We start from the raw sequence: 20,152 nt of genomic DNA on the forward strand, positions 1-20,152 counted from the left end.
CTAGCCAGGTCTACCTTGAGCCTTCAGTTTTGTGAACTAGTAAGTCCTCCTTCCTTTTTTATTTTTTCTTTTTTTAGCTTAAGTTAATTTCATTTGAATTTTTGTCATCTTAGAACAAAACAGTTTGTATTAACACACTATTCTCATGAACACCCTGGGTCACTGGATCAGATATGATGACTTTTAAACTTTAGAATACATACAATTTAAACAGAGGACAGAGTGCGGTGACTCACACCTGTAATCCCGGTACTTTGAGAGGCGGAGGTGGGCAGATCACTTGAGGCCAGGAGTTCAAGACCAGCTTGGCCAACATGGTGAAAACCCTTCTCTACTAAAAATACAAAAAAAATTAGCCGGACATGGTGGAGCACAACTGTAGTCCCAGCTACTGGGGAGGGTGAGGCAGGAGAATCACTTGAATCCGGGAGGTGGAGGTTGCAGTGAGCCGAGATCGCACCACTGCACTCCACCCCACCCTGGGTGACAGAGCAAGACTCTGTTTCCAAAAAAAAAAAAAAGTTAAAAACATAAACAGAGGGCATTTTAAAATGCTGATTTCTGGGTCTTTCCCAGAAATTCTGATTTAGAAGGATAGAGTCCAGGAATCTTCATTTAGCAAGCATTCCAGATGATTCTGTTGTAAGATCACACTTTGAAAATCACAGAATTAGAGCATCCTCCTAGGCCACAACTTCATAATGAAGAAAGGTGGCTAATTGTTGTGTGCCTTCTATGAGCCACACCCCTTGGCTATGTTATCTACTTACCTCATTTAATCCCCAGAACAAGAGGTCCCCAAAAAGAATTAGATATCTCCTTTTAGAGGAGTGAAGCACCTGCTGCTGAAATTTGGGGGCAAATAACTGGAGTAGGCCTGCTGGGAACAGGACTTGTTAAAAGAACTATGTCTGGAAGGCTGTGGTCCAAGGCCATTTTTGCCGGCTATAAGTGGGGTCTCCGGGACTAAAGGGAGCACACAGCTCTTCTTAAAACTGAAGGTGTTTATGCCCTAGATGAAACAGAATTCTATTTGGGCAAGAGATGCACTTATGTATACAAAGCAAAGAACAACACAGTGACTCCTGGAGGCAAACCAAACAAAACCAGAGTAATCTGGGGAAAGGTAACTTGGGCCCATGGAAACAGTGGCATGGTTCATGCCAAATTCTGATGCAATCTTCCTGCTAAGGCGATTGGACACAGAATCTGAGTGATGCTGTACCCCTCAATAAACTAATGAAAAGTCAATAAATAAATGTGGATTTGTGCTCTTGTTAAAAAAAAATATATCTCCCTTTAGATTTGCACAATGATTTTAGATCAAAGTACAGCAGCAATTCTATTCTTAACATGGACAGAAAGAGGCAAGAAATAAAAGAATCCACCACGTCTTCATTGATTTTTCATTTCCAGATGTTAATAATTCCAAGGGTAAATGTAGCTAGGAGAACTTAATTAATTTCTTAAATAAAACCTACTTGTCTTATACATGTGAGCAAGAGAAGGTAATGTATGTTTCAGTAAAAAGAATCATTAGTAGGTTACAGAGTCTGAGTAGTAAATACTATAGTTCAAGTTGTGAGAAACTGTCATTACATCACCCTGATTGGAATCATCCTGTTTTGTGAAAATGTGGAGCTAGACCTTTCCACAGCTGGTCTTGGATCAACAGTCTTTGTGCTTTTTGTTTCTGGTTTCAGTTTATGAGAATAATTGCCTGTGGCTGGGTGCAGTGGCTCAAGCCTGTAATCCCAGCACATTGGCAGGCTGAGGTGGACAGATCACGTGAGTCCAGCCTGGCCAACATGGTGAAACCCTGTCTCAACAAAAAATACAAGAATTAGCTGGGTGTGGTGGTGTGTGCCTGTAGTCCCAGCTACTCAGGAGGCTGTGGCAGGAGGATTGCTTTGGCCTGGGAGGCAGAGGTTGCAGTGAGCTGAGATTGAGCCACTGCATTCCAGCCTGGGCAATAGAGCCAGACCCCATCCCAAAATGGAGTTCTTCAGAAGAAGGCCCTGAGATGAGGATTTACCTGCAGTTGATTTTTTTTTTTTTTTGAGACAGAGTTTTGTTCTTGTTGCCCAGGCTGGAGTGCAATGGCACAGCCTCGGCTCACTGCAACCTCCGCCTCCTGGGTTCAAGTGATTCTCCTGCTTCAGCCTTCCAAGTAGCTGGGATTACAGGCACATGCCACCATGCCTGGCTAATTTTTTTGTATTTTCAGTAGAGACAGGGTTTCACCATGTTGGCCAGGCTGGTCTCAAACTTCTGACCTCAGGTGATATGCCTGCCTCGGCCTCCCAAAGTGTTGGGATTACAGGCATGAGCCACTGTGCCTGGCCACAGTTGATTTATTAAGGCAGGATTTATCGGAGAAATCCATAAGGGAAAGACAAGAAGCCAAGTGTCTTAGTTTGCATTGCTATAAAGGAATACCCAAGGCTGGATAATTTATAAAGAAAACAAGTTTATTTGGCTCATGGTTCTGCAGGCTGTACAAGAAGCACGGTGCCAGCATCTGCTTCTGAAGAGGGCTTCAGGGAGCTTCTTCTCATGGGGAAAAGTGAAGGGGAGCAGGCATCACATGGTGACAGGAAGGAGGGAAGAGAGAGAGGAGGCAGGTGCCGGGCTCTTTTAACAATCAGATCTTGCAGGAACTAACAGAGCAAGAAGTCACTCCTTACTGTGAAGATGGCATCAAGCCATTTATGAGCAATCTGCCCCCATGACCCAAACACCCCCCATCAGGCCCCATCTCCAACTCTGGGGATCACATTTCTTTTTTCTTTTTCTTTCTTTTTTTTTTTTTTTTTTTTGAGATGATTTCTCACTCTGTTGCCCAGGCTGGAGTGCAGTGGCATGATCTCAGCCTCCCAAGTAGCTGGGATTACAGGTACCCACCACTTCTCCCAGCTAATTTTTTATATCTTTAATAGAGACGGGGTTTCACTATGTTGGCCAGGCTGGTCTCCATCTCCTGACCTCAGGCGATCCACCCACCTTGGCCTCCCAAAGTGCTGGGATTACAGGCATGAGCCACCACGCCCAGCCCAGTTTTAGCCCATTTTCTACTGCTATAACAGAATACTACAGACTAGGTAATTTATAAACAGAAGTTTATTTGGCTCAGCGTTTTAGAGGCTGGGAAGTCCAAGAGCATGGTGCTAGCATTGGCGAGGGTTATCCCTTAGCAGAAGGGCAAGAAAGATGAACTCATCCTTTTTATCAGAAACTCACTCCTGTGATAACTAAGTTACTCTCTCAATAACAACATTCACCCCTTTATGAGGGCAGAGACCTTATGGCCTAATCATTTCTTAAAGGTCTCACCTCTTAACACTGTTAGAGTGGCAATTAAATTTCAACATGAGATTTAGAGGGAAATTTCAAACCATAGCAAAACCTTACCAGATGTATGGTTTGCAAATATTTTCTCTCATTTTGTAGATTTTCTCTTTATTCTGTTAATTATTTCCTTAGCTGTGCAGAAGCTTCCTAGTTTGATGTAATTTCATTTGTCTACTTTTACTTTTGTTGCCTGTGCTTTTGGATTTATCTCCAAAGGACCATTACCCAGACCAATGTCATGGAGTTTTCCCCTATGTTTTCTTCCAATGGATATAAAATTTTAAGTCTCCCTTTCAAGTCTTTAATCCATTTTGAGTTGATTTTAGTATATGGTATTAAATAAGAGTCTAATTCATTCTTCTGCATGCAAATATCCCATTTCCCCAACAGCATTTGTTGAAAAGACTGTTCTTTCCCTCATTTGTGTTCTTGGCACCTTTGTCAGAAAACAATTGACTGTGTAAAAACATGGAACCAACTCAAATGACCATCAATCAACAAGTGGATAAAGAAACTGTGGTGTGTGTGTGTGTGTGTGTGTATACATACATACATATATATATATATGTATATATATATATATATATATATATATATATATATATATATAGGCTTTGGGGACTCAGGGGGAAAGGGTGGGAAGGGTGGGAAGGGGGTGAGGGATAAAAGACCACAAATTGGGTTCAGTGTATACTACTTGGGTGATAGGTGGACCAAAATCTCACAAATCATCACAAAAGAACTTACTCATGTAACCAAATGCCACCTGTTCCTCAATAACCTACAGAAATAAAAAATAAAAAAATCGGTTGGCTGTAAATTTGTGAATTTATTTCTGGGCTCTCTATTCTGTTTCACTGATCTATGTGTCTGTTTTTATCCTAGTACTATGATGGGTTTTTTTAAAAATCCATGCTGTTTGATTACTATAACTTTGTAGTATATTTTGAAGTCAGGTAGTGCGATGCCTCCAGTTTTGTTCCTTTTGCTCAAGCTTGGTTTGGCTATTCAGGATCTTTTGTAGTTCCATACAAATTTTAGAATTGTTTTTTCTATCTCTGTGAAAAATATCACTGATATTTTGATAGAGATTGCACTGAATCTGCAGATCACTTTGTGTAGTATAGACATTTCAACAACATTAATTATTCCAATCCATGCACATAGGGCATCTTTCCATTTATTTGTGCCTTCCTTAATTTGTTTCATCAATGTTTTATATTGTTCAGCATATAACAGGCCTTTTTTCTCTTTGGTTAAATTTATCCCTAAGTATGACATTTTATTTTTTGTAGCTATCATAAATGGTATTGTTTTCTTGATTTCTTTTTTGTACAGTTTATTGTTAGTATATGGAAGTGCTATTTATTTTTGTATGTTGGTTTTATATCCTGCAACTTTACTATATTTATTAGTTACATCAGTTTTTTTTTTTTTTGGTGGCGTCTTTAAAGGTTTCTATGTATAAGGTCATCTTGTCCACAAACAAGGACAGTTTAAATTCTTCTTAAATTTAGGTGTCATTTATTTATTTCCCTTGCCTAATTGCTATGGCTAGGACTTAAAGGACTATGCTGATTAGAAGTAGTGACAGTGGCCATCCTTGTTTTGTTCCTGATGTTGGAAGAATATCTTTCAGCTTTTAACCATTGATGTGAAAATTTTCACCAGTGATGTTAGCTATGGGTTGTCATATATGGCCTTTTTTGTCTTGAGGTACATTTATTCTCTACCTAATATGTTGAGGACTTTCTATCATGAAAGGATGTTGAATTTTGTAAAGTACTTTTTCTGCATCTGTTAAGACAATCCTATGGGTTTTGTCCTTTGTTTTGTTAACAAGCTCAGTAATTTTAAAGTGCATAATTTATTGGCTTGTAGCACATTCACAGTGGTGCACAACCAACATCACTATCTCATTCCAAAACTTTAAAAATCCCACCCCAAAAGCCAGTCATTCATTCATCTTTAGCCGCCTTAGCGTAGTGATGCATGAGCATTCAGTGTTTATTAGGTGCCTCGAGGAGGAACAACATCCGTTTTCAATAAAACAAGTGTCCAGCATTGAGAGCAGACGTCTGGTAATCATTCTCTGTGTTGCAGTGTTTCTAAGACTTCAGGTGTCCCTTTCAGCACTCGGAGACTTGCCAAATGCCACTCTTTTTAAAAAATCCCTATTGGCCTGGATAATTTAAAACTGAGTTGGCATCGTGGTAAAAGACAATGTGATTCACTGTTACAGTCTAATCTCACCCTTCTAACTGATTCTTTCACTAAATTCCACCATGTAGCCCATTGTTCATCTACATGAACCATCAACATTCCTTAGCTTCATAGCTTTATTCAAAACGTTCTCTCTTCCTAGAACACCCTTCCCTGGGACATTCTACTCATTTTTCAAGCCCATCGTCAGGGTCACTTCCTCTATGAAATCTTCCCTAATGCTGATCTCTTCTTCCCACGTAACACCCATCATGCATTGTCTAAACCTCTTTTCTCAGATGATATGCTGTGTTATCAGAATGATTTCCCTGTTTCTGTCTTTCTCTATCTGAATGTGAGCTTCCTGATGGCAGGGACAGTCTTGTTCATCTTTCAACTTTCCCATAGCGCAATAAGTATTTCCTGAATTGAATTGAATCATAGAATGTGTTAAAATGAATTTTGATAATATTTAATTAAAATAGCTCCAGTAGTCTCAGGGGAAAAAATTTGATTAGTATTTCTAGAAAAATATACGTGTCTTAGGGCTTTTTTGGGTGAAAGAAATGAAAATCTATTCAAATCATCTTAGGTATAAATTGGTTTCTTAAGAAAGATAAAAATCTCAAAAAATCCAAAGCCAAGCTGGAGATCTGGTTCTTTAAAAGGAAAGGAGCTGAGATCATCCCAGGAATTGGCAGCAGTAGGAGTCCATGGACCTTCCCTCGAGTTATTATTTTTTCTTTCAGCTAATATTCATTGTGCACCTACCATGTGCCAGCAATGGTGGCAGGCACTGGGCATACAGCAGTCACGCAAGGATACTACAATCTCTGCTCTCATATGACTTTCATTCTGGTTCCTAATGTTCATGTAAATTGATTCTTCACCTCCGTGCTCCCTCAGACTCAGTCTTTCCTACTTCAAGTTCCTGAGGGCAATCTTTTTTATTTATTTTTAATTTTTTATTTCCATAGGTTTTTGGGGAACAGGTAGTATTTGGCTACATGAGTAACCAAATCTCACTTTAGTGGTGATTTGTGAGATTTTGGTGCACCCATCAACTGAGTAGTATGCAGTAAACCCAATTTATAGTCTTTTTTTTTTTTTTAAGATGGAGCTTTGCTCTTATTGCCCAGGCTGCGTTGCAGTGCAGTGGTGCGATCTTGTCTCACTGCAACTTCCGCCTCCTGGGTTCAAGCGATTCTCCCTGCCTAAGCTTCCCGAGTAGCTGGGATTACAGGTGCCTGCCACCATGCCTGGCTAATTTTTGTATTTTTAGTAGAGACGAGGTTTTGTCATGTTGGCCAGGCTGGTCTCAAACTCCTGACCTCAGGTGATCTGCCTGCCTCGGCCTCCCAAAGTGTTGGGATTACAGGCGTGAGCCACCACACCTGGCCAATTGGTAGTCTTTTATCCTTCATCCCCTTCCCGTCCTTTCCTCCTGAGTCCCCAGAGTCCATTGTGTCATTCTTATGCCTTTGTAACCTCATAGCTTAGCTCCCATGTATGAGTGGGAACATATGATATTTGGTTTTCCATTGCTGAGTTACTTCACTTAGAATAATCCAGTTCCATCCAGATTGCTGTGAATGCCATTAACTCATTCCTTTTATGTCTGCATACTATTCATATATATATATATATATATATATATATATATATATATATATATGTATATATATCAGTTTCTTTTTGTTTTATTTTAAGTTCTGGGATACATATGCAGGATGTGCAGGTTTGTTACATAGGTAAATGTGTGCCATGGTGGTTTGCTGCACCTATCAACCCATTACCTACGTATTAAGCCCAGCATGCATTAGCTATTCTTCTTAATGCTCTCCCCACCCCTAACCCCGCTTCCTTCCCTTGATCCCCCAGTGTGTGTTGTTCATATACCACAGTTTCATTATCCACTAGTTGATTTATGGGCATTTGGGCTGGTTCCATATTTTTGCAATTGCAAATTGTGCTGCTATAAACATGCGTGTGCAAGTATCTTTTTTGAATAACGACTTCTTGTCCTCTGGGCAGATAGCCAGTAGTGGGATTACTGGATCAAATGGTAGTTCTACCTGAGGGGAATCTAATTGGCTGTTGGGCAGCATTGTGATCAATTGTCTCCTTCTGGGTCAGCTGTTTGTTATCTCTGGTCATGGGGGCTACAGGAGATGAGAGCTGGGCGAGGGGAGGGCAAAGACTTTTCTTAGAGAGATCAAGAGCTGGGTCAAGCACTCAAGTGTGCCTCATTAAAAAATCATCTTTATTATACATGATTTGTAAATATTTATGATTCATTTTATGTCCTATAAGGCACCAGATTCCAAAGGCGATGCTAATAAAAGAAAAGCCATTTCATATTATGATAGTAACAGCATATGCTTCTGTGGGAAGCCAGGACAATTGCTGCTTTAATTTGAAAGAAAGTTCTGCCCAAGCAATTAGCTCTGTCAGTGAATATTGTAGATCGCTTTTGGAGTTGGGACCTTAAAGATCATCTGTTCTGCTGACCTGTTTTCTTTTTTCTTTCTTTCTTCCTTTTTTTTTTTTTTTGAGCTGGAGTCTTGCTCTGTCACCCAGGCTGGAGTGCAGTGGCACAATCTCAGCTCACTGCAACCTCCACCTCCCAGGCTCAAGCAATCCTCCCACCTCAGCCTCCCAAGTAGCTGGGACTATAGGCGCCTGCCACCACACCTGGTTAATTTTTGTATTTTTAGTAGAGAGGAGGTTTTGCCATGTTGGCCAGGCTGGTTCTGAACTCCTGACCTCAAATGATCTACCCGACTTGACCTCCCCAAGTGTTGGGGTTACAGGTGTGAGCCACTGTGACAGGCCTTTGACCTGTTTTCCAGGTGAAAAAATCTGAGGGCCAGGTGGTGGTGGCTCACGGTTGTAATACTGGCACTTTAAGAGGCTGAGGCAGGAGGATGGCTTGAGCCTAGGGGTTCGAGACCAGCCTGGGCAACATAATGAAACCCTGTCCCTACCAAAAATACAAAAAATTAGCCAGGTATGGTAATGTATGCCTGTGGTCCCAGCTACTTGCGAGGCTGAGGTGGGAGGATTGCTTGAGCCTGGGAGGTGGAGGTTGTAGTGAGCTGAGATTGCGCCACCACACTCCAGCTTGGGTGACACAGCCAGACTCTGTCTCCAAAAAAAAAAAAAAGAAAAGAAAAGAAAAGGCTTTTCTTTGGTCAAGGTCAAGGTCAAGGATCTGTCAAAGGTGGAGCTGGAAATGGAACTCAGGTTGTTGCTGTCGTTATTAATCCATGCTAATAGAAACTTGCTTTTTTCTTTTCATTTACCCTTCGTCCATTCCTCCTTCTCTTTTTCTTTCCTTTTAAAAACTCTTTAATCAGTTTCTTTCCTTAAATCGTTAAAGCATACAGATGGTTTTAAAAAGTAGTATATAAAAGTATACAGGGAAAAGTATTTCTCCCTCCCACTCCAGTTCCTATCCTTAGAGGCTACCACTGCTTCTAGCATATCTTTACAAAGATAGTCTATAGAGTCTAAGCATGTGTGTGTGTGTGTGTGTGTGTGTGTTATTATTTTTGCATTTTAAAACTATATCTTGAAGATCATATATATAATATATGTAACATCCTGGGGATCTGGGGCAGTCATACCTAAACTGAGTTTCAGTTTTTTAAAAATTCCTTCTTTTTTTAACCACTGTATGGTATTCCATTACTCCGTGATATGAAAACACTGTAATTTATTTAGCCAAGTTCTCACTGATGGACATTTAGGTTGCTTTCAATCCTCTGCTATTACAAACAATGCCTTAAAGAGCACGTTTCATGCCCATCAATGATAGACTGGATAAAGAAAATGTGGTACCTATACACCATGGAATACTATGCAGCCATAAAAGGGAACGAGATCGTGTCCTTTGCAGGGACACGGATGGAGCTGGAAGCCATTATCCTCAGCAAACTAACGCAGGAACAGAGAAACAAACATTGTATGTTCTCACTTATAATTGGGAGCTGAACAATGAGAACACATGGACACAGGGAGGGGAACAATACACACCGGGGTCCTGTAGGGGAGTGGGGTTGGGGGAGGAAGAGCATCAGGAAAAATAGCTAATTCATGCTGGGCTTAATACCTAGCTGATGGGTTGACAGGTGCAGCAAACCACCATGGCACATGTTTACCTATGTAACAAACCATCCTACACATTTACCCCGGAACTTAAAATAAAAATAAAAATCAATTAAAAAAGCACTCTTCTACATATGTCTTTGTGTATGTGTGAGTAATCCCTGCCCCTTCTTCTGTCTTTTCCATCAAGTTAATTAATGGAATCAGGAAAGACAGAAACAAAAAGGAACATTTGGTGGTGAGGTGATAGAGGCCTGAGTAGAGAAACTGGAGACAGAGTATCTTGGTCAAGATCCTTCTAGTTGTGAGTAATAGGAATCAGCCTGAACTTGAAAAATGGGAAGAAGGTAAGAGGAATTTATTGGCAGGTCCAGGAGTATCACACAGAAGCCCCAAATCTCAGGAACGAGAAAGCCATCAGTGATGTAGTCAAGTCTCTTTTTGCCTTATTTCTGCTTCTCTCTGAAATAGAACTCATCTTCTCTTTCTGCCTCCCAACTCTTTCTGCTCCTCTTTGTACATAGAGGAAGACGGTGATACCCGGTGGTACTCCAGTATGTGGATCCTCAGCACAGACTGGTTGGCTTTTCCTTAGTCTAAGATGGATGAGGAGGACCTGATTAGCCACAAAAGTGACCTGATTATTGGTTAAATAATCAGCAAACCTGAACTTGTTCTTCTTTTCTTAACATTTTGTTTGTTTGTTTGTTTGTTTTTGAGATGGAGTCTTGCTGTATCACCCAGGCTGGAGTGCAGTGGCATGATCTTGGCTTACTGCAACCTCCACCTCCTGGGTTCAAGAGATTCTCCTCCCTCAGCCTCCTGAGTAGCTGGGACTACAGGTGTGTGCCGCCATACCCAGCTAATTTTTGTATTTTTTTTGTAGAGATGGGTTTTGCCATGTTGGCCAGACTGGTCTCGAACTCCTGACCTCAGGTGATCTACCTGCCTGGGCCTCCCAAAGTGCTGGGATTACAATCATGAGCCTCTGTGCCTGGCCTCTTTACTTAACATTTTTTGATGAGGTACCATCTATTATGGGAAAACTCTGAGCTTCTTAACAAGACATTTACATTTTTTAATCTGACCCTCTACTTGACCTTGCTGTCCAGTCTGTTCTGTTCAAATGCCCAGGCCATGCCAAACATTGAATCATTTTCTCACATACCCCAAGGATGCATGACTTGGCTGGCAGAGTATAAGGTAGATTTCAGCCCCACCTCATCCTTGGTTGGTGCCTCTCTGGAGTGCACGTCTCCATAACATGTGAGCAGAAGTAGGAAATTAGAGCCAGAAAAGATTAGGAAAAAACCCTTGATCATGGGATGGGGGGTTAATGCTGGGTTTTCCATTATATGGATATGGCGTTTGAATTATTTTTACCCAAGTTACAAAGGTCCTGGTGGTCCTGGTAATACAATGTCCATGGACAATGAAATCTGGGGTTAGCACCTGGGTTTCACAGATACCTTCCCCATACTTTCAGATCTCCCTATTTTGCCCCTGTCCTGGCTAAGCTGGCTATGGCCTCTGAAGACACCATGACTATCAGAGTTGGCACAGCTGATGTTGTTGATGGAGTGGATGTCCCTATGCACATTTGGAGGCCAGGAAGTCCATCACCAAGTCCTGTTGGGTCTGCTGACCTATGGGATTGGTCCTCTGTTGTAACCTTGAATTACTGACTTTTTTCCCCCCGAGACGGAATCTCGCACTCTCACCCAGGTTAGAGTTTAGTGGCGTGAAGGCTCACTGCAACCTCTACCTCCCAGGTTCAAGCAATTCTTGTGCCTTAGCCTCCCAAATAGCTGGGATTACAGGCACCTGCCACTACACCTGGATAATTTTTGTATTTTTAATAGAGATGGGGGTTTCGTTATGTTGCCCAGGCTGGTCTTGAACTCCTGACCTCAAGTGATCTGCCTGCCTCGGCCTCCCAAAGTGTTGGGATTAAAGGTGTGAGCCACCATGCCTGGCCAATTATTGCCTTCTTACTTTTATCCTGGAATAAAGCGACTGACAGTGTTCCACTTCTAACATTGAGTTCCCTGGTCTGTTCTCCATGAAGAAGCCACTCATCCTTTAAAAATGCAAATCTTGGGCAGGTCACGTCTGCTTCAGTGCTACTTCCGTGCCCTAAGGTTAAAATTCAAACCTCCTACAAAACTCTGTTTGATCTGGACCTTGGCTACCTCTCAGCCTTAATCCCCATCTCCTCCCGACCCTCCTAGCTCATTGAGAGTTTTACCTAGCTCATGAACAGTCATTCTTATTGGTAACTTAGTTTAATCATTATTTGCTATACTAGTTTTCTCTTGCTTTTGTAGCAAGTTACCACAAAAGTGTCTTAAAACAGGCAAAATTTATTCTCTTTACAGTGCCGGAAATTAGAAGTCTCAACTGAGTCTTAAGGGATTAAAATCAAAGTGTCAGCAGAGTTGGCCGATTCCTTCTGGAGGCTCCAAGGGAGCATCTATTCCTTGCCCTGTTTTTTAGCTTTTCACGTCCTTTTCCAGCTTTTGTGACTTCTGGACCCCTCCTCCCTCTTCAAGAAACATCACTCCAATCTGTTCCTATCATCACGTTTCCTTTTCCTCTTCTGTCATCAAATCTCCCTCAATCTCCTTTTTTTTTTTTTTTTTTGAGACAGAGTCTCACTCTGTCGCCCAATCTGGAGTGCAGCGGTGTGATCTTGGCTCACTGCAACTTCTGCCTCCCATGTTCAAGCAATTCTCCTGCCTCAGCCTCCCCATTAGCTGGGATTACAGGCATGTGCCACCACGCCTGGCTAATTTTTGCATTTTTAGTAGAGATGGGGTTTCACCATGTTGGCCAGGCTGGTCTCTAACTCCTGACCTCAGGTAATCCACCCGCCTTGGCCTCCCAAAGTGCTGGGATTACAGGCATGAGCCACTGCGACCCGGCCTCAATCTCTTTTTGATAAGAACATTTGTGATTAAATTTAGGGCCAACTTGGATGATCCAGGATATTTTCCTCATCTCCAGATCTCTAGTATAATCACATCTGCAAAGTCCTTTTTGCTAGGTAATAGGTTTTAGGTTCCAGGGATTAGGACCTGGATATCTTGGGGGACCATTATGACTGCTCCAGCCCACCATTCTACCTTCCTGATGTCCAGGTTGTATTACATGTATTAAACTCTCTGCCTGGTTCCAACAGGATGCTATCCTCCGATCATAGCATTTATTACATATCTTATAATTGTCTCAAGGCAAGGGCTGGTTATAGACACACCAGTCCTCTATCCTTACCTGAGCACATAGGAAAACTACATGTCCCAGCTGCCTTGGTTCTTCCATTTGGCTCATGTGACTGAGTTCAAGTAATGGAATATGGTGGGAATGATATATGCCACTTCCAGGCTAGGCCAGATATTGCCCCACTTGATCCTTTCTCACCTCCATCCACATGGCTGGAAGTAAATGATTTCAGGATGATGCTGGATTTCTACGTCATCATTTATTCTGTTAAGGCACTGAGATTTTGGGCTTGTTTATCACAGCAGATGACCTAACCTGACTAATCAATCTGTTTTCTTTATCGGATTGTAAGCTTTTTCTTATTTATTGTTGACTCCAGCCCCTAACGTAGTGTTTGGCACAAAGCGAACATCTAATAAGGGCTCGTTAAGTGAATGAGAGGCAGTTGGATTTGGGATGAGACATGGGTGTAGGAGTGGCTGGAGTGAGACTAGACGGACTTGCAATTGTCATTGTGAGAAGTGATAAGGGCCTGAACTAAAGCAGTGACAATGGAGACGAAAGGAAAGGAAGGATTCAATATTCACTTAGAAGGGAGAATTGACAGAACTTAGTGACTGTTGGGATATGAAAGTTGAGAAGCAGAGTGATGTCAAAGACTTCCCAGTTCATTGGCTTGGACATGTGTCTTCATACTGGTACACCAAACTTTCAAATTTCCGAGGGTTATTCTGAATATGTAGGCGAAAACACAGCTTATTCAGCTCTCTATGACTGTTAGTTCTTTGGTTGCAGTAGAATTCATGTGTACCAGCTTCTGAATCTGCAAAGCCCCTTTTGCCAGGTAATAGGTTTCAGGTTCTAGGGATTAGGACCCGGATATCTTGGGGAGGGGGGCCATTATCCAGCCCACCACTCTACCTTCCTGACCCCCAGGTTGTATTAAATGTATTAAACTCTCCCCTGAGTCCAATAGGATGCTATTTTACAGTCATAGCTTCTATTACATGTATTACACTTGTCTCTTGAGGCAAAGGCTGGTTGTATACTCGCCAATCCTCTGAATATTGTTGGTTGGGCAGCCTTGGTGATATGGAGATTTTCATTTGATTGTGATTGGTAGTAATGAGATTTAAGCTATATGGTAAATTGATACAAAAAATAGGCTGCATTTATTCATGCGTCACACATATGCATGCCTCGGTTTTCAGTGTAACTTTGGCTCTTTCTATCAAGAGAAGTCTCTCTACCCCCTGAATCTAGACTGGCTTTATGGCTTGATTTGGCAAATAAAATGTAGCAGAAGTGATGGGGCGCATGTTCTGACATCGGGTCTCAATAGGATTTGTGTGTTTCTTCTTTCTTTCTTTCTTTCTTTCTTTCTTTCTTTCTTTCTTTCTTTCTTTCTTTCTTTTCTTTTCTTTCTTTTTTTTTTTGACAAAGTCTTGCTCTGTTGCCAAGCTGGAGTGCAATGCGCAATCTTGGCTCACTGAAACCTCCACATCCCGAGTAGCTGTGACTACAGGCACCACGCCCAGCTAATTTTTGTATTTTTAGTAGAAACAGGGTTTCACCATGTTGGCCAGGATGCTCTCCATCCCTTGACCTCGTGATCCACCTGCCTCGGCCTCCCAAAGTGCTGGGATTACAGGCATGAGCCATTGCGCTTGGCCTCTTCTTGCTTTCTTAGGACCTGCCATGCCTCTATGCAAAAAAAGCTGGGCTAGCCTGAGGGAGTATGAGACCTCATGGAGTGGGGAAGAGCTGTCCCAGCTGAAGTGTATTCCAGGTGAACCTGGACACAGCTGGCCTGCAAGACAGCAAATGCATGAGTGAGCCCATCCAAGATCAGGATCGTGCAACTGAGACTAACCTTAGTTGCCAGCCCACAGAACTGTTAATTAAATAAAAATGGTTGTTGTAAGCCGGTAAGCTTTGGGGTGATTTGTTACATGGCAAAAACTAACTGATACATTCTGTATTTACAGGAGTCTGAGCAGAGAGACAGGGGTCTGCAGAGTAAACAACTGTGGGGTTTTCATCTAGTCTCCATTGATTCCTGGGGATACACTAAGTTATTTTAATCAATGTAGTTAGCTGGAAAATGCATGATCCCAAAACCTATTTTGGTTTCATAGCATAGTTGAAAGGAATTAAATTATTTAGATAATTGCTTAAACTTACTACTTCATTTGTAAACAAAAGCTACTGCGAAGCTCTTAAATTAGTGACCACAGACTTGAATTTCACCTTTAATAAAATGACTAAAAATTGGTGTCATTTAACCCCAATTAACAGGTTTGATCATTTTTCCCTGATAAGAATTTTTTTTTAAATACCACACACACATCCCTCATAAACACAAAACTAACATTTACTAACTCCAACGTTATTTGAGAAAGTAAATTGTGACACTAATACAATGTCCAACAAATGTGAAAGGTGTTTACTCAACACATTTTATCAGCCTTATTTTTCTCAATTTCCTATGAACCATTGAAACCTTCAACACATATTGGTATTGTTCTAGCATTTGAGAACTGTTTTTTTTTTTTTTTTTTTTTTTGAGACAGAGTTTCACTCTTGTCGACCGGGCTGGAGTGCAATGGCATGATCTCAGCTCACTGAGCTCACTGCAACTTCCGCCTCCTGGGTTCAAGCAACTCTCCTGCCTCAGCCTCCTGAGCAGCTGAGATTACACAAGCCCACCACCATGCACGACTAATTTTGGTATTTTTAGTAGAGATAGGGTTTCACCATGTTGGCCAGGCTGGTCTCGTACTCCTGACCTCAGGTGATCTGCCCGCCTCAGCCTCCCAAAGTGCTGAGATTACAGGCGTGAGCCACCCCGCCTGGCCTAAGAACTGCTTTTGAAGAATGTCTACCAAAATTCTTCCTGCTGCTTCTGAAAATGCTTACATGCGTTTAACTATGACTTCTCAAATGCTGCCATCCCTGAGAAGCCATCCTTTCCTCTGTAAATGGAGCTAAACATCCTCTTTTAAGTTCCTGTAACCTTAACCCCTATTTCTGCTAGAGGTGCATCACCTGTTTACGGGACCAGCTACAATATTGGTGGTGCTCAGTGCAAAAGTCAAAATGATTTTTCCCAGTGCCGAGCACTGAACCAAGCATGGGGCCCTTTAGAACATGGAGAACTGTGGGACTGCACAAGTCCCATACCCATAAGGCCTTCTCTGTCTCTATATTTCATCTTCCCCTGAAGATTTTGAGATCATGGAGGGCAAAGCCCTTGTCTCAGTCATCTATCTTCCTGGACATCAGCTCATTGCCTGGCATCTTGTCATCCTTCAGGTTTACTATAGTAAGAGTGACCATTTATTAAGCACTGCTGAGGTTCTACTCGCTGGCCACCCACTTTATGCAAAGTATCAATCATCTGTAACATCCCTGGGTATAGGCACCCTTCTTATTCCCGTTTTCCAGATGAGAAAACTAAGCTTGGAGAGATTAAGTGATTTATTCAAAGTCATAGATATCCTATGAGAAAGAGCCAGAACTTAAACACAGCCATGACTCTGGGTTTCAGTCAATTTTGCCCCTCAGGGGACATTTGGCAACGTCTAGCAGCATTTTTGTTTGTCACAACCAGGGGGTGCTATTGGCATCTAATGGGTAGAGTACAGGGATGCTGTTAAATGTCCTACAATGAACAAGACAGCACAAGACTTTCTCACCCACATGTTCCATACAGGGGCAGATTCCCAAAAAGTACCCACCTATGGTAGTGACTGTATTTACTGACTTGATGTGTTCGGAGGAAATCGACTTTTTTTCTTTGCAGAGCAAAATGAACCCGGATGATTCTTTTCTCCTTTTAATATTTTTCAAAGGCTCAGGAAACAGGCTGGGGCAATTTTCCAGGGAGTAGCGCTTCACCTCCCGCCCACCCCAACACAGAATTATCCACTCCAAAATGTCTATAGTGCTGAGATTGAGAAACCCTGGATTGAGGGAAAACCAAAGCCTGTGCTTCCTAAACTTCAGTTTTTAGTACCAGACACTTCACATTGTTTTCTTTATTTTTATTTCTTTATTTGTAAATACTATAATGTCTTTTTTCCATAATTGACTTTACATTGATAGACTTAAAATTATTAACTATACACCTTAAACATTTATTCCAGTGAATCCATGTTTGATGCATTATTATTTTCTTTCGAATACACATTGAAATATCTGTAAAACCATTGATATAAAAAAGATCTTTGTTGGGGTACCACCAAAAATCATCTTCCCTACCACCACCAGTCCCGGGGAACCAAACTTCATACCTAGTTCACTTTTTTTTTTGAGATGGAGTATCCTTCTGTTGCCCAGGCTGGAGTGCAGGGGTGTGATCTTGGCTCGCTGCAACCTCTGCCTCCCAGGTTCAAGGAATTCTTCTTCCTCAGCCTCTCTAATAGCTGGGATTACAGGCATGCACCACCACGCCTGGCTAACTTTTGTATTTTTAGTAGAGATGGGGTTTCACAATATTGGCCAGGCTGGTCTTGAACTCCTGACCTCATGATCCGCCCACCTCAGCCTCCCAAAGTGTTGGGATTACAGGTGTGAGCCACCGCATCTGGCTCAGACCTAGCTCACTTCTCTAAGGCTTCCCTCATCTCTTCAGGAGAGAATCAAATACATCAAATCAGCTTATTGCTTGAAACTGGCAAGGTGCTAGCTACATTTCACTTATGTTTTTTTCTCTTTTTTTTTTTTTCTCCTCAAGGCTAACAGCTGCTTAAAAACCTCTTTGAAACCCTAAAAGCCACTTGAGGAGGACAATTAACAAACCACTCATTTTGGTGAGGGCCAGAGCACATATAATTCAATTTGTTGAGTTGCTTATGAACAGTGGTTGCAATGTCCTGGTAACCAAACATCCTTTGTTATTAAGACATGGTTCCCTTCTCTAATTGTTAGGGAGTACAATTGCATTCTTTTTGCTGTGTGTACTGCAGTCTGACATAATTAAGGCTAGAGCAAATGAGATTCTTCTTTAGATATTAAAAGTGCCTGTGTTGTAAATAATAATGTCACCCTCTCTTTCATAGAAAGCACTTTCATTAAGAGCTGCATTTTAATATCAATGCGTTTGCATGAATTCATTTGGGTCATGGTGGGGGGACATTGCTGATGATTTTTAATCTTCCATGAGCTCACCAGGTGTTCCAATTAGGTCATTTATAATGCCTACCCCTCCCTGCCAGGAGCCCTGAAATAAATACTTTCTCACTCACATTTTCCATACAGGTGTTTGTTCCCAGTAAGTACCCACCCATGGTAGTAACTGTATTTACTGACTTGATATGCTCAGAGGAAATTGACTTTTTTCTTTGCAGAGTAAAATGAACCCAGAGGATTCTTCTCTCTTTTTAATATTTTTCAAAGGCTTGGGAAACAGGCTGGGGCAATATACCAGGGAGTGGTGGCCACTACAGCAGACAGGAACAGGAAGGGAATCTGGTTTGGGGAAAGCTCATGATGGGATAGGAGTTTTAAGGTTTAGAATCATTGGCACATAAGCCACACAGGGTGGCTTTCTGCTTCCTTCCCCAGCACAAGCTCTGCGCTCTTCTTGACACAAACAGGGGGCAGTCTCTGTTAATTAAAGCGAGGAGCAGCAGTCACAGTGAGCCTCCTCTGAGGACCGGAGTCAAATGTCCAGGTGACATGCAATATTTTACAGAGATTGGAAGCAGATTCTGAAATGGACTTTTCTGTCCAGATTTTGTCTCTTTTCTCTGAAGTATTTTTTTAATCAAATTTACAAGTACCTTAAAACTCCCAACCCTTGCAGAAAGAACCCTGTGACCTACTGTTCTCCCATGTCCCTGGTTAAACTCTGCCCTAATACCTGCTGAAGTGGAGTCGGACACAGAGTGGAGGAAGAGGCCGGGGTTAGGAGTTGGGCGTCTAAATCCAGCCCTGGTGGGGTCATTGCTGTCCATGTGATCTCCCACAAAGGTCTTAACCTCTGAGCCACAGCTTCCTGGAACATAGGAAGCCCGCTGGAGGGTCCCTTTCCATTTCCAATGTAGTATATAGAAAACTCCCACCCTTTATATACATAATGACAGCAGATACTCCATCATCCATGCCCTAAGTGTTCCTTTCCTCTTTTGGTTTAAGACAGAGTCTTGCATAAATTAATTAATACAACCCATGCATTTTTTTGAGTGTTTACCATGCTTAGAACTGTACCCCGGGGCTGCACCCTGCAGCCCCGCACAACCCCAAAGGCTCAAATCCCTGGAGTTGCGCACAGGGCTGGAGGGCGCAGCCATGGACCCGCAAGGCAGCTCCGTATGCCTGGGTTCTAGGGGCTGGGGACATGGTATGGGAGTCGAGGCCCTCTCCATTACACAGTTCACATCTCAGTGCAGGCAAACAGACGAAAACGCAAATACATAATATAGTAGGAGGTAGACAGAAAGTTTGGAGGCCTATTTCATGTAGTGGCTGGAGGGCAGTTTCTGGACTCAAATTTCTTGGGTCAAATGTCAATTCTGGCACTCATTTGGCAGAGCTACTTGGGCAACTGGTTTAACTGCTTTGGGGCTCATTCTCTCCCTCTGTTGTGTGGGCCTGGTACTATTACCTAAGGGAGAGAGAGTTACATGAAACCAGTCACTCGGTGGTTCAGCAAATATTTCCAGACTGTCTGCTATACGCTGGGCACTGCTCTAAGCTTTCTTGAGGAGCTGCTTTTAGAAAAAGCAAGCTTAGTGAGTATGTTGCAGGCACTGAATAAATGTCAGCTCTCATTAGCTCTCACACACCAGTGCTTGTGTTTGTAGGACTCACAAGGTGGTGGTGGGCGTGGGTTGCCAGTCATGACAGACTTTCCATACTCTCCTATTTTGGGGATTCTATTATAATGAATCTGGTGAATCTGGATTAAACGTGTTCATACCTTCCCCAGATGGGTTTGGAATATAATACTCCTGGGTATGCCCTGTCAATGTCTTGCTGTGTGTTTGCAAATCTTTTTTGAAACATCAAAATGTGACTTTTTTTTTCAAAGAGAAGGGGCGATTAGCCAAACTTCTCATTTGGAGAAAACTTGCAACAGAGTCCCAATAAATCCTCCCACCCTTTCTCAATTCAGGGGACCCTAGTAAACCATTTTACATGTCGCCCAACTTTTCGTTCTCTGAAGATGCCCTGAGAAGCCCTTGACTGCAGCCAAGTGGAGAGGAGGGTTGTGGAAACATTATCTCCTTGCAAATCGCCTAGCAGCCTGCAAAGTGTATAC

At 42.1% G+C, this 20,152-nt stretch overlaps 1 pseudogene; it reads left to right on the forward strand.

Moving 5' to 3' along the window:
• Positions 817-1,278, forward strand: RPL35AP34 (ribosomal protein L35a pseudogene 34; annotated as a pseudogene).

Source organism: Homo sapiens, chromosome 16 (assembly GCF_000001405.40).
Source record: "Homo sapiens chromosome 16, GRCh38.p14 Primary Assembly".
NCBI classification, from domain to species: Eukaryota; Metazoa; Chordata; class Mammalia; order Primates; family Hominidae; genus Homo; species Homo sapiens.